Source organism: Homo sapiens, chromosome 11 (genome assembly GCF_000001405.40).
Source record: "Homo sapiens chromosome 11, GRCh38.p14 Primary Assembly".
In the NCBI taxonomy this organism is placed as follows: domain Eukaryota; kingdom Metazoa; phylum Chordata; class Mammalia; order Primates; family Hominidae; genus Homo; species Homo sapiens.
Window position 1 is genome coordinate 114770018 of NC_000011.10, and position 15178 is coordinate 114785195.

General features: G+C 45.9%; 1 protein-coding gene and 1 long non-coding RNA gene across 4 annotated transcripts in view; one reads left to right on the plus strand and one right to left on the minus strand.

Moving 5' to 3' along the window:
• The window catches only part of NXPE2 (neurexophilin and PC-esterase domain family member 2), a 349427-nt gene that overhangs the window by 305742 nt on the left and 28507 nt on the right, over positions 1–15178 (plus strand). The window lies entirely within an intron of this gene.
• The window catches only part of LOC105369506 (uncharacterized), a 95796-nt gene continuing 87571 nt past the window's right edge, over positions 6954–15178 (minus strand). Inside the window, exons 2-3 of the long non-coding RNA XR_948042.3 lie at positions 12377–12429; positions 6954–10625 (exon numbers count right to left, since the gene is read on the minus strand). This is a non-coding gene — a long non-coding RNA (uncharacterized LOC105369506). The remainder of the gene's footprint in view (positions 10626–12376; positions 12430–15178) is intronic.

Consider the following 15178-nt stretch of genomic DNA (forward strand, 5'->3'; position numbering starts at 1 on the left):
CAACTACTTTTCTGTGGAAAGGTGATCAAGGTACTTCAGGACTCACTTGGGCTATAGCATAAGGCTCACTGAGTAGCATGTTTTCAGCTTCAAATCTGCAAAGATCTTTCCTTGGCCAAACTAAAGTAGAAGATGTAGACAGTGATCCAGTCATGTTACCCCTAAACTCTACTTTCCTCTGAATAATTCTGAGAAATGGTGGGTTGAGGTCAGTCTGGTGGTTTTCTTTGAATCTTACACAGATTTGGAACAAGGGGTTAGTTGCCATTTATCTTTGGATAATGGGGCCTTCCTACCCCCTCCCCATCTACCTCTTGCTGCACTGTCTTTCCAGAGTGGATGCAATGCAGTATGTGTGTGGCTATGTGTGTGTGCACACACATGATTGCGTGAGTGTGCATGATGCTTCCTTCCTTAATGGACTGAGCTGCTACCAGGTGTCCAGAGGCAGTAAAATAAAGCATCACTGTTGGGTACTGCTGAAGCGCATTTAGCACATACGTAAATTCATCTCCTGGGGCAGAAAGCCGCATAAATAGAGTTAACATCACATTAATGCTGTTTATCACCAAATGCAGGGCTTTGGATTTAGGGGAAAGATGAGCCATGTCTCCATACAAATTATCTCAGCTTTACCAGATCTCTGGCAAAAGACAGTGCCTGCTTCCTTCATCTCAAAGCAGTGCTCCAACCAGTCTATTTTATAGGCGAGCAAACTGAGGTCTAATGAGGACAAACTACACACAAATCTAGTTTTGAGCAGAGATTGGAGGAGAGCTAGAAAGGGCTGTGGCCAATGTCTTGCACTCATGTTAAATTGGAAAGAGATTGATCTTTGGCATCAGAAAAAAATGATGTAGGATCAAATTGTAACTCTATGGGTGTGTGAACTTGGACAAACTTTATTTTCTCTTCTGTACAATAAGGACCATGATACCTCTCAGGGTAATTTAATTATTCATCCATATTACATATGTTTATTGCAGATATATTATGCACCTGGCTCTGATATTGTAAGAATTAGGTGATATTATAGATGATCATTTGACCAAATGCAGGACATATGGTGGATACTCAATAAATGTTCTCCTTTCCTATCAAGACTTGCAGCACTGACTGACTTTTCTCCAGGAAGAATTCACCTACCCACCTTTGGGAATGGGTCAAATGTGGAGTATTTGCAGACTGACTTCATTCCCTGTATCCCCTCTCCCTCTCCACTCCCAGAAACTTTCCCTCAGGGCTCTTGGAACCAGAATACCGTAGTAACTCTGACAGATGATCTTTGAGGGGAGACAAATGTCTGACACTCCAGGTCCTAAGTGACAGCACAAGGATATTCAAAGTGATCCTGCTCATACTAGATAAAGGCGACTTGTCAAGGGGGACAGGTTGTTTTCAGCATCAGCTCAGGGGAAGCCTGACAAGTGAATAGTTCTACTCATTCTTGGACCAGGCCTGTGGCCTTCCTTAAAGGTGAGAAAGATGCCAGGGTCACAGGGAGACAGAATGGTTTGGACACAGGTCAACTGGGAGGGAGGATCAGCTAAAGGGAAGGATACTTGGGCAGTGGACCCAATTCACTCAGTCCTCGTGAGTGCTCACTCTCACTGCATCCTTTGCGTGTACCTCACCCTTTGCTCTGAGTGCCTTCTCCACTATGGCCCCAAGGATGACCCTCTGTCCTCTCCTATCTCCCTCTCAATGGCATCCATTTCTGACTCTTGTTAGCGCTCTGCTTCTCTTTCCATTGTGGCCTTAGCCATGGCAACGAATGCAGGGAAATATAACAACATAATCCTCTTCACACCATTCAGTCCCCAAAGGTCCTTATTCAGAGTTCTCCATTTATCTGGTCATTAGATCTAATTAAATCCCTCCAAATTAAAGCACTGATGAGTGGCACCACTTTCTCTCACCAATTAAAGTAGAGGAGATTAAAGAATTCCCTTGACACTTGGTCCTTGTGAGGGTGGTAGCAGGGGAAGAGACAGAAACACAGAAGACTGTCCTTTATCTTCGAAGACAGTGTTGATGTAATGTGGGCTCCTGCCATGAAAACGGACGCTTTGTGTGGCTTTTCCAGCTGTGGTCGTAAATGTCCATTAAGTAGTCTCTTGTCCCTTGTAGAAATATTTCTCTTTCCAAAGATAGCGTGAACAGCTTAAACAAAGGATATCTAAGATAAGATAACTAAGTAGAAAACAAAAAGGGAAGTTGGGAATGGAGAAAAAGGGAGTTAACCAATATATTAATCCAAAAGATTAATTAACACATTCGTGGTAATTAGTACAGACTCTGATTGGAGCTTCCTAGTAGCTAAAGCAAAAAAGGAAACTATCCCCTATTCTTAGGGGATTAAAAAAAAAAGTTCTGATTCTAAATCCTGAGAATAACTTCCCATGTGGCACTTCATTTAGGAGACATTGGGTGATAGGCAACGTTTTCAATAATACTGCTTAATATTCAATATCTTACATGTAATATGTGATGTTCTGGGTGTCTAGGGTTTTGGAACAGTGCTAGCTTCTTTGAAGGGTTAATTTGCCCATGTAGGACTCAAATAGTGACCTCAGCTTTATTAGGACACTATTCAGGCCAACCCAGCTCACTGAATCAAGCAGAGAAGAGGGAAACGCCATGGACACCAACACCACATCTGACTCCCCAGCAAGGTCCTTTGGAAGAAGTACCCCTACGTTTTGTCCCTCTGAAAACAGGCCCATCTTTTCTACCCTGCCCCACTGATGTGCTTGGCTCATGGAGACAGTCATCAGACAGAAAGCGGGGTTCAGCACTCTGAGGACAGAGGCAGGCTTCAGGCTCATCCCCTGGAAATCGTCTCAGCATAGTCTGTCTCTCTTCATCAGAGCATTATTGAACCAGACCTTGTTTTCATCCCTTTTCTCCTGGCATTCCAGGATCTTATTTTTGGAGGGCATGCATGAAAATATTCTTTTCAGCCTTCTCTACTACTCAAAGTAGAATACATCCTTGTGTGGTTGAGAGGATTTGAAGGCACTGGGGTATGAAGGCAGAGGAACAGGTGAGATGATCTCAGTGCACTAACCCTGATGTCTGTTCCTTAAGGGGAGCCAGGCTTCCACTCAAACACAGGCCCACAGGGAAGCATGCTCCTACCAAAGAGGATTCTTTAGTGTACAACTTCCTCTGTTCTCATCCTAGGCTCCTTCAATGGACTCCAAGACAGAGCCTTGGGTTCAGTCAGGGGCAAGCCCATGCCCTACACAACCCACTCCCACCCCCCCCCCACCCCATTCTGGGCACTCATAGCTCTTCCTCTGGGTCTCTCCATCTCCAGACCAACTCAAACAGCTGTGTCTTTAAGATGCTTCCAGATAAGAACCCCCCGCCCCTTTGCCCTTGACTCAACAAAGTTTGCATTCAAGATCCTTCTAAAGAATGACCTTCTTTCTTTTCTTGTGTTCCTGTCTGCAATACTTGCCCCCCACTTCTGGGCTTGGCTTCTCACCCCAGGACCCTGGATTTCTCTCTGCACTTTGGACTAGTTCTTTGTTCCTCTTCATGTCATCCACTGGTATGATGGTTAATTTTATGTGTCAGCTTGACTAGGACACAGGGTACCCAGACATTTGACTAAACATTATTTCTGGGTGTGTCTGTGGGATTGTTTACAGATAAGATTAGCATTTGAATCGGGACTGAGTAAAGTAGATTGCCTTCCCCAGTGGGGGTGAGGATTATCCTATCTGTTGAGGGCCTAAGTAGAACAAAAGGTGGAAGAAGGGAGAATTTCTTCTCTCTGCCTGACTGAGTTTAGACATCTCTTGTCTGCTCCTATCCTCAGACTGAAACTTACACCATTCACTCTCCTGATTCTCAGGCCTTTGGGTTTCGTCTGGACTACATCATCAACTTTCCTGGGTCTCCAGCTTAAGACGGCAGATCGCATGACTTCTCAGCCTCCATAATCATGAGAGCTAATTTCCTCACCCATCTCTCTCTCTACGGCCCTCAGTTGGCCTACCAAAGTGAGGCAGGTAATGCCTCTACTGCTCTTGAAACTGCTTCCCGGAAACTGATCAAAACGTGAAGCTCAGCAGTTTCTCTCCTTACTGACCAAACCCTGCAGAAGCCCCAGCACTATTGTACCAGAGCATGTTCCATGTTTCTGAGTTTCAGTCTGGGGCTGTTTGCACGCTGTGGCAGCTGCCACCTGTTCACTATCACTAAGGGCAGAGAGAAGGCACAACATGGAAATGCAGAGAAAAAGAACATTTGTAAAACCTGCCCTTGACTATTGTTACTCCAGGTGTACTCTCCATTTCCATCTAAAGTCCTGCAAAACTTCTTGTTTAGTCCTTCGGACACAGTTGTTTCTTTTCATTGTGATTTCAGTGGAGAATCTGAAAAAGGCCGTTGTGAAGCAAGATGTGAAGGAGGCGGCTGCTAGTCATGATTTTCCTGAACCAAACTGCATACAGCGTATTTGGTTATCCGCCGGGACGGTAACCCTGGCAGCCACTCCTTGTGTGTCCTTCGGAGGAGGGCTCCTTACATTCTCCATGGCTTCATTAATAAACTGGCTGGAGGCTCATTTTGTGTATGAGGACGTAATGAGACTGCGCATGCCGAGTGTTGTGGCGTGGTCCTTGTCCCACTGAAAGGTGCTCCCTGGAGGTCAGCCTCATTTCTCCTTCCCCCTTTCGCCCTTTCCCTTTTTCCTTCCCCATCTCTTGCTTTTTCCCTTCTTGACTCAAGCCCGAGCTCCTGCAAGGCGTGGAGAGAAGCCTGCGCTGCCAGTTGCAGTAGGAGCATCATCTCCAAAGGGGGCGCTCTAACATCAGGAAACAGGCCTTCAGGGACCTTGACTGTGTCTATGAGGACTGTGCGCTGGTACCTATGGCTGGACATTTAAAAAATGGCTTTTCTGAAATCTTTGCCTTGATATGCTATCAATTTTTCCAGATGCCTTTTCAATATCTGTCTACAGAACTGTATGAAATTATAGTAAGTCCTACAGCTGGGGGGATGACGATATGACAGACATCTCTGGCTTGGATGAAAGAAGCTGGCGACATACTTCTGGCAGTGGGTCCGCTCTGGGGGACTGCCAAGCTGCAAGCCTCCCAAATAGGGGACGCTGGGTGCACCTAAGTGGGAAGCTACCTGCACCTCTTGTCGCTGTCTTCCTTCCTCCAGGTCCGCCTTCAGGCAGGAGGCAGATCTAGGCCGTACGCTTTTAGGCAGCACAGGGTGAGAGGCTGGCCAGGGTTTGCCTCCCTCTGCTAGACAGACCCCAGGGCCTTCAAGGTGGGACGAGGAGAGAATAAGGCCCTGAATAGCTTTTGTTAAGCTCTCCTGGACTGGAGAAAGCAGTTGTTAGGGGGGGCAAGAGGACAACACCTTTTCTAGAAATTAGAAACCTCAACTCATCAGCCTGTTGAGTGGTAGGAGGGAGGATCTTGCATCTCCAAAGGGCTCCTGACCACTCATCTCATTCCATTTATTACCTTTCAGGGTGCACAGGGCACAGGGAGCACATTCCACTGAGTTCTTGAGAAAAAGGATATGAGAAAGGTGAATAGCGCCTGGCATGTAGGTGTCCCCCACGTGGGAATGAGTGAGTGAACGCAAGCATCTGAAACAAACTGAAAGCCTCCCTTCCTGTGGGGGTTTTCCCCTCTTTAATTTATACAGATAAAAGGCTTATTTAATAGAGGGCTCTGAAGGCTGGGAAGTTCAAGGTCATGGCCCTGACTTCTGGCCAGGGCTTTTGCACTGCCTCATAACATGGCAAAGAAGGTCAAAGGGTGGTAGATACTTGCTAAGAGGTAAAACTCCAGCAGCCTTCTGGAAGAAAAGAAAAAACAAAAAAACGAAAAAAAAAAACAAAAAAACCCAGCCACTCTCAGGGGAATGAATCTGTTCCTGTGGGAACTAATCCAGTCTGGCCACAGTGAGAATGCAATTCATTACTGCAAGGATGGCACAGTGCCACTCACAAGGCATCAGCTGCTATGACCCAAACACCTCTCCTGTGGGTCTTTATCTCTCTCCATGGGAGGACCTGGGCATTAAAAGGGAGGATCTGCTAGGAGACAGCTTGGGAGGGCCAGAAGTGCTCCTGTGTCTGCAGAGGCCTGGGGAGGATGAGGGTGGCTGCACAGCAGCCTCAGGGATTATGGGGAGTGCTGCATCCTCTGATCCAGCGGCCCCCGTGTCCGGGCACAGGAGAGCCCACGAGGAGCAAGGTCCCAGGCATGTGTTACAACAACCTGCGGGTTGCTATTTAACAGCACTTGTCATCTTGTCCGTTTTGTCCACCTGCCAAGCCTGTTTCCACCGAGCTCTCCAGAGTGGGAGGCTGCTGAGGCTCCCATCTGCGGCTGATAACAGACGGCCTTGCCTTGCGTGAAGCGCAGGAAGTTAAGAAGCTTTTCTTTGCTGTTGTGGAGAGACCTCTGGCTCGAGGCAGTGCTCTCCGAGGGCAGCGGAGATACTGTCAATTACAAGCCTGTCCTTCAAGGCTCGGGGCTGGGCTGCGACAGGCTGTCTGCAGTTGGATGTGTGCGCACATCTGGGAGAAGCCTTCGTGCTGGGAGCCCAGTGGGGTTTGGCACTGGGTGGGCCTGGGTGTTCCCTTTTTCCTTAACTCATTGTAAAGTAATCTGTCAAGATGACATCACCTTAGGGGAAAATTACATCCTATCAAGGTGATCCTGTTTAAGTGGGAGTCTATCTAATATATCTATCATATTAGTATGTCTGCCCCGATTATGCATACCTCTGACACCCTACCCCAGAGATTCCCACACTTGTTTGGTTCAGAGCATTGTTAGTCTATCAGTAGTTTTTCATGGTACCCTCATGACAAAAGAACTAACAGCTGCATTTTTTCAAATAGCTAGGGTCAAACAACTTTATAAGTATTAATGTCCCAATAACTTAATAGCCATTTGAAAACATTATGAACTGAAAGAAAAAACATTTTTATTTTATTCCTAAACAATAATTATGTACGAATGGGCTGTGTGCACCTGTTGGGCACTGCACAACTTCTCAAATGTTGGACACCAACACTTTGTTTCACAATGATTTTTATGAAGGACTTGCTTCTTATCGCAGCAACCACAGAAAACACACCTTCAAAAAGATATGACCTAACAGACAGGAAATCGTGAGATCTAATGTTGAAACTGTAAACTACTTTGAGTTAGTAATTTGCTCAATGTTTAGTGGAAGTTGAGTAGCTTTGTGTCTCTCTTCAAAAATTAACATATACTACAGGAATGTGAGTTCACTATGGTGACCCAGGATACCTTGTTACATGATTTGGGGACTGTAGCCCTACTCTATGCATTTATTGTATATTCTCATGTTTAAGGAAATGGGGTGAACTAGAAGCCTGGTTGGGAGCAAAGAATGAGGAGATAAAAACTGCTGAGCTTAACCTACATCTTAACATTCTCAGGGCACATTCTCAGGTTGTGCTCTTTCCTAGTAAGAGTCATGAAGCTGGAGTCTTTCCTGGGAGTGTTGAAGACAGATTGTATTGGGCAGGATGAGGCATTTCCATGAGTTGGAGGGCTGGGTCCATAGAGTCATGCCTAGTATTTTCTGATCAGTTTTCCTCCAACTATTCGAGATCCATTTTCCTGGCTTCCTTCCTTCCTTCTTCAACAACTGTGTATTGTGGTTCTTCCCGTGTGAGCATAGTACAGTGATGAAAAGCAGGACTCAGGAGCAAGACTGCCATCTGCTACCTGTGTGGCTTTGAGAGTATCTGACCTCTGTGCTTCAAATTCTATATCTGTGAAATGGGTTTAATAAGATGGTGCACCTCATTGGCTTGCTATGTGATTGAAATGATCCAGTGGAGATTAGAACACTGTTTGCCGTGATTCTGAGTGAGCAACTGAGCAAATAACTGTGACAAAACAGACATGGTCTCTGCTTTTACCTGGCTTACAGTCCAGGGGCAAAGAAAAATATCAAACCAGTATTTGGCCACACAGTTAACTGATTACAATTCTGATGTGTGTTTCAAAGAAGTGTAGTATTCTATGGGAGTATGTAATATGAGGATTTAACTTAGATGGAGGCAGGGGAAATGGTGTCTCATAATCCTTCCCAGAGTAAACAATGTTTAAGTCAGGACTCAAAAAAGTTAAATAGGAGTGATTTCAGCTGAGATCTAGTGGGTGAAGCAGGTCTAGAAGAGTGTCCCAAACAGAAGGAACACGATGACAAAGACCTTGACTCTCTGGCTAGTGGTCAAGAACAAGGATGAGAGAGTTAGACAGGGTCAAAATCATGCAGGGTCTTGGTAGTCCTTGCTAAGGAATCTTTAAGTTTTCTTCCCAAGAATGACGAGACAGCATCAGAGGTTTTTGAGCAGAGGAATGGCATGATGTTATGTCTTGTAAAAGGTCATTTTGGCTGTTGGCTGAAGACTAGGCTCCAGTGGGCAAGAAGGAAAATGAAAAGACCAGTGAGGAGCTTATTTGTAAATCCTTTGGGGGAGATGAGAAGTGACTCTGTATGGTGGCAGTAGAGAAGAGGACAGATTTGAGAGATAATTTGGAGGTAGGAGAGATCTGGTGGCTTGACTGTGAAGAGACAAGGGAAACCAGGCAAATGCCCAGGAGTCTCCCCCAGAGCAGCTGGGAGGGAGGAAGGTGACTTGACAGGGTCGGGGTCCCTGGAGGAAGGAGCATGTCCATCAAAGGCACTTGGAGCTGATGATCCCACTCTCCCAAACCACTTCCTGCAAATGCTTCCTAGATAATTGAAATAAAACAGGGTTTCTGTGTTCCCTCCTGAACTATAACCATCTCAGGCCTTCACTTTATTGTGTATAAAGGCTAGTGCATCAGGGATGGAGGAGGAAGACCTCCATTGTGACAAAGAACCCGTTGTGGCTTTAAAGTTCTTAATTGAACCTAGGACATATTTGGAGTAATTAGAAACAAAGTTTATCATTATGCTGGCCACGAGCAGGCCTGTCCACACTCACTGTCAGTTCCTTTCCCCCTCTCTCTGTAGCCATCTTTCTTTCTTGTATTGAAGGAAAAAATGTTTTTGATATTAATTAAGTTACATGGCAATTTCCTCCCCCTAATTAAAGTGGAACCTTTTCACAGGACACTTTGAAGTGTGGCTCTGTGGATATAAGAAACTTTTCTTCCTTCGCCAGAGCTCTGTAGTGTCTCTTCATATTGTTCACTTCAGTCAGAATAAAACTCTTTCTGATAATGAAGGGAAGAGCATTTAACTTTTTCCAGCTATCACACAGTCAAGTCAGCCTGGAGTGGGGTGTGGGGAGAGCCTGCTGGGGCCCTGGCCTGGGGCGGTGTGGGGGGCTTGAGCCGATGCTATGACTCAGGTGCACCTGGGAAGGGGTTGACTGGGGTGGCTGGATGGTGGGCGAGGGAGGCCGAAATGGGAATGGGGTAGTGGGTGCCAGGAGCCACTTGGAGCGGGGAGATCGGAAGAGCCGCAGCATCCCATCCCCGGGTGCCAGCTCAGCTCTGTCAGCAAGTTCTTGCTGTGAGCTTTGATGTTGCGGGGACTTCTGCTCTGATTTCCAAGGGACAGTTTCTGGCTTTGTTTGGGCTCAGAGGACCCCCTGAGATGCCCAGAGATGGGACAGTGACAATGACCTCCAGAGTAAACAGAGAAAGTGAGAAAATGGACTGAGGGTAACAGCAGAAGGAAAAATCAAGACAGGAAGGAGGGCTCAGTCCCTCACCCTGAAAGGACTCGCTCGCTCAGGGAGATATTTGAGACTTTTCACACGCCGGTGATTCCTCCGACTTACTTCCCCTCCCTTCACCTTTTCCTGTCTCGAACCCCTCCAAATTCCCTCGAGGTGAGTGACGAAAAAGAAGGAGTCTTCTCCCCTCCCTGCCCAGAAACCAATTTCTCGTGAAAACACTCCAGGGAGGAAGCAGAGGCCACTGGTTTTTATCTGTGAATCTCACCGCGAGTGTTTTCCCTGTAGATATCGACAGCCAGTAAAATTCATATCACAGACGAAACCAGCAACAACCCCCATGTGTCCACTGCCTCCCCGTCAAGAGGCCACCAGTCCAGAGTGTCAGATGCTTCAATTGGATTATTGCTGTTTCCCAGGCTATCTCAAAGTGTCTCCCAAATAGCTTCAAAGCCACTGACAAAAACAAATGGGAGAGGCCGAGTCTCTTCAGGAGGCACATGAGGGAGGTGGAGATGGACCACAGGTTTCCCTTTCATGGGTCCAGCTTCAGCAGCTGCTGGGCTCCTGTCTTGGGCCAAGGAGGCAGGAGCAGGTCCCCAACAGGAGGCCTCGGCTGCCTGTGTGGCCTGCAAACACCACGAGGATGAGGACAAAGAGGAGGAGCTGTGCCTGCAGGAAATGGGTGCTGATGCTGGGTTGAGGAGAGGCACAGGAAGGGGAGGATGTGGTAGAAGAGTTAGGAAGGTCGTGGGGTTTTCCTGATGTCCTGCAGCTTCCTTTAGTAACTTTAATTCTGCTCCATATTGGTTCAGTGATTCCTGAATGCCAGGCATTAAACAAGGTGGCAGGATGAAGGCAGAGTTCCAGCCCAGCAGGGAAGTGGCCCTCTGTACTGGTAACTCTAGTAGAAGGTGGTTGCATCCTGTAAATGTAAGAGAAGAAAAAAACAACATGCTGTAAGAGGCTCAGGAAGGCAAACTTGATTCTGACTCAGGGCGATCTGATAAAAACCTTATGGAGGTATGATTTCAGCTGCCTGGATTACATTTGGGCAGGTGGAAAGATGGCAAAAGAAGAAGTTCCAGACAGAAGGAGCCACAGAAGAAAGGTGCTGAGGAGTGGCAGTACTAGTGTGTTTGGGTACTTTAGGAAGGTATTGTTTGAGCCTAAGGGCGATCCAGGGGATGTGGCGTTGGGGGAGGAGAGTGATGAGGGGTGAGGCATTGCAGTGAGGGAGTGCAGCGGCGTGAGGCTTGCCTATCAGGCTGAGGAGTGTGGCTTTTCTTTTTTGTATCATGGGAAGCCAGGGGAGACTTACGAGGTATGGAGTGATGGGATTAGTACTATATTTTAGAGAAATAATTCTGTTCCCTTTTGACACATACTCCCTTATCCTTTATCCCTGCCACATGGCTTGCCACTGAGAAGGCTAGGAACATGTAAACACACTTTAATGTGGGGCTTGGGAGAAATTCTGAGCCATGGCACTAGCTTCCCCTACCTCCTGAACCTGGTCTCTACTCATCTGCAGCTTCCCTGTGGGTAAGTTCAGCTAGGCTCCAAGGGAGCAGGGCACAGAAGACAGAATTGCTTTTCCCAAGGACCCTTGGTTAAGTAAGCACCATCCTCATCCCTGGCCATGCTGACTTTGATGAGGGATTATCATGATAAATCCATTAAATATACCAATGCCAAAGGATTTGCAGGAAAAGGGTGATGGGATTTAGACAGGGATGGGATTAATCTGGGAAGGCTTCCTGAAAGAGGTGGCCTTATGTTTGAGATCTCACAGGTAGTGGTAAAATGAGTTGGTGGGAGATAAAAGGGAAAGGCCATCCAGCAAGATGAATCATCAAAGCAGAGGATAGAAAATATGACCAGGGGCAAGGGCACAGTGCATTGGGGAGGAAGGCGAGATGGGAGGGTTGTAACAGGACTTGAAGGTGGAAATGCCAGTCTAGGGGGGCCATGAATTCTGGGTAGTGGAAGTCTGTAGGGTGGTCTATAAATAATGGTCCATGTCAGCCCATTTTTTGGAGCCCTTCCTCCTTCACCTCCACCAGGAGTACAAACAGACTCCCCTTATTTTGTTCCCATGGGGTACAGCTATGCAGGATGGATGACAGTAGACCCTCAACTGGTTCATCTGGAGTAGTCATCAAATCCTCCTGTAATTAGCAAGGGTGGGAAAGGTGCTCTGACCAGGGCAAGTGGCCCTGCTGAACTGAACAGTAGAAATGACATATGTGCAGTCGTCCCTCGGTATCCGTGGTGGATTGGTTCCAGGACCTCCCACAGATATCAAAATCCATGGATGTTTATGTTCTTCTTGTACACTTTAAATCATCTCTAGATTACTTCTAATACCTAATACAATGTAAATGCTATGTAAATAGCTGTTATCCTCTAATGTTTTGGGAATAATGGCAAGAAAAAGTCTGTACAGGTTCAGTATAGACACATTTTAAAAAATATTTTTGATCTGCAATTGGTTGAATCCATGGATACCAAACCCACAGGTACAGAGAGCTGACCGTGTATCTATTCCGCAAGGCAGCTAGGCCCAAGGCCTGAGTGATAACCTGTGCTCTTTCTGTCTTGGCAATGAATCTGTGCTGCCCAGCTGAGAGGCAGGATTGGCTTTTAGATGTGCTGTGAATACTGGGAACTTACTCCAAGGCATGGCTTCATCAGGAAATCTTCTTGGAAAAGGCACCAAACTCCACCTGGAAGAACAGGTAAGTAAATAAGTTGTTTAACAACCATTTTGTGCCTTATGCTTTTATAAAAGCCATCCACATACCATTTAATGTTCACAGAACACTTATGAAGACTCCAGGAGAGATTTTGTTATGCCCACTTTACAGACAAGGAAACTGAAGCTCAGATAAGTAGTTTTTCCCAAATCCCACAGTTCCTAGTTGTAGAGCAAAGACTCAGTCCCTTTTCTTCTGAGGATAAGTCACGTGTATTTTCTGCCACAGACAGGGTCCTAAGGAAGATAAATTTCTCTTCATCAGGACGAGGTATGGTTCTTGAATCCAACACCTGATTCTTATTGCAGAGATTCCTAAGGGCTGGGTCTTTAGCACTGATGAAAGCCAGATTCCAGCCGCCAGCCATAGGAGATACCTGCAGGCGTTCCAGCCAACCCAGAGACCTAGAAAGAAAACCCAAGCATTCTTAACCTTTAAAAAGATCTTAGCCTGTGGACAGATAAATTAACTCCAGGGCTCTGGGGAGATTAAACCTTATTTTATGGTTTGCTTGTTAAAAACGCATAACTCGAAATCTCACCAGAGATTGCAATTAAGATAGCACGGGGCTAAAGCTATATGAGAAGTATTATTTACTCCGGCTCCCTGCAAAGTCCAAAACGACAATGGGCTTTTCCATTTCGTAACCTGCAGTCGATCTGAAGCCACCTGCCTTTGTACCTAAAATGCTTTAGGACACGTGCTTCTCTCCCAGCATAGCTGCTACCACAGTTCTGTTATCCTTTGTGGTTGCCCAAAGTAACCATAAAAACCTAAAGTTAAAACAAAGTTTGCAGGGCGTTAATGTTCAAGAGACACCAAGAACATTTTCTACCATCTGCTTCTCTACTGTTCCCACCTGAGGGGCCCTTTTTCTGTGTTCGCCTTTGAATGCCTGACATGTATGAGCCCCAAATAGCTCCCTAATTTCTAGCAAAGACCCAGGAAAAGCCAGATCACCCCAGAGCCGACTGATCTCACTAAAATATGACCGAAAGAGCCATTACAACCCTTCTCAACCATTGCTATTAGAGATCACACATAGTGACTCAAATTTTTTTCCTCCTCTGGAAGTTCTGTGAAAAGTTGGTTACTTTGTGTGCTCAAAGACAATTAGCAAGAAAGACTGTTTAGATTTTCTTTCTGGGGTCCTCTTTACTCCTTGAGATTAATGGTTTGTTTTTCCATCTTCTGTGTGTATAGAGGAGATGCGTAATGAATTTATGAGCTCCTTTCTTTGAGAAATTTCATCTTAGGCACTGTGGTGTTGTGAGGGTCTTTCTCAAATTCATCTTTTGCACATGGAGTATTTGGTTAGTACTCAGATTCCTGACTCCATTCAAGAGTTGCTCAACCAAGTGATTCTTATAATCAGGTGAATTTGGAGATGCTGGTGTAGTGGAAAGAATGCTCTGCTGGGAGGTGGGAGAACTGGGTTTTAGACTAAACTTTATTAGCTACTAACTGTTTGATCTTTATCTAGCTAGTTGTTAAATGCCTCCTTGTAAAAGGAGAGGGAGCTATGATTAAGTGTGCCAGGCATGTTCTAATTGCTTTGTAAGCATAAACCCTACAAAGTAGCCTCAAGGTCACACAGCTAGTCAGAGGCAGGGCCAAGGTTCAAACAGATTGGCTAGACTCATGAGCCCTGGCTTCTAACTACTATGCTATGCTACCTCTGTAGATAGGTTCTCTCAGCTCCACTGTCCCACAAGTTTCTTGTAGCCAAAGAAAAGACCTCACACATTCTATGAGAAGGAGACCTTCCATTGCAACTTGCTCCATCTCTGTCCTGGGCTAATCCCGCAGCTCCCAAATAACATAAAGACTTTGGACCAGCCCTGCATTTTTTTTTCCTTTCCTGGTCATTATCTGGGGCTGATTTGGCCAAACTTCTAAGTCTGTTGCCTAGCAAGTCCCAGCACATCTGGAGTCCTGCTGTTGTCTCAATTGCACAGCTGTCTGCGGCAAAGATGCAGTCATCAGAAAGCTGCTGCCCAATGGAAATCCAGGGAGCAATCTTTATATGGATCAGCTCTTTATACCTTTGTGTGGATTTCGCGTCTCACTCACAAAGACAACGGAGCAAGCTAGCAGAGTTCATACTGAGATGTGAGTGGCTTTATAACCAGCATGAGGAAGATTTCCACAGAAAAACCTCTTCTTTCCTGGTGACAGACCTGAATTTTTGCTAAGGGGGGAAAAAAAGCTCTCTCTTCGAGAGCATTTGTGTGGACCCAGGTGCTTTGAAATGGAGAAAAGCCAGAAGATTCCTCTGAGGCAAAGAGATACCGCCAAATAGTGCAGGCCCCAAATTTAGGTTTTTGTAGACCTGCACATTAAAAAGTTTCCAAAAGCTTAAGGAGGCAGAGCCAATTTGAAGCTTTTATTTCGTGCAACAGAGTAGAGGATATTGTTTTGGGGGTGGGGAAGATTGAAACCTGCAGTGAAAGTAAATGAAAAACCAAAATCTCTGCTGGAGGTATAGATAAAAACCAGAAAATAAAAAAGGAAGCAAAACTGACCAGTCTTATTTAGCTCCCCAAGGAGAGACGTGCTGCAGAAAAGAAGAAAGTAACAACAGTCTGCCCTGTGATCTCGTATTCTATTAATCAGGCCTCTCCGTAGCTGACACTCTCCCAGACAAAGGCCATTGATGTTCAAAATGGCGACACAGGCACTGTAGGGTCCTGAAGTGGCTTCTGCATGAACAAAGCCC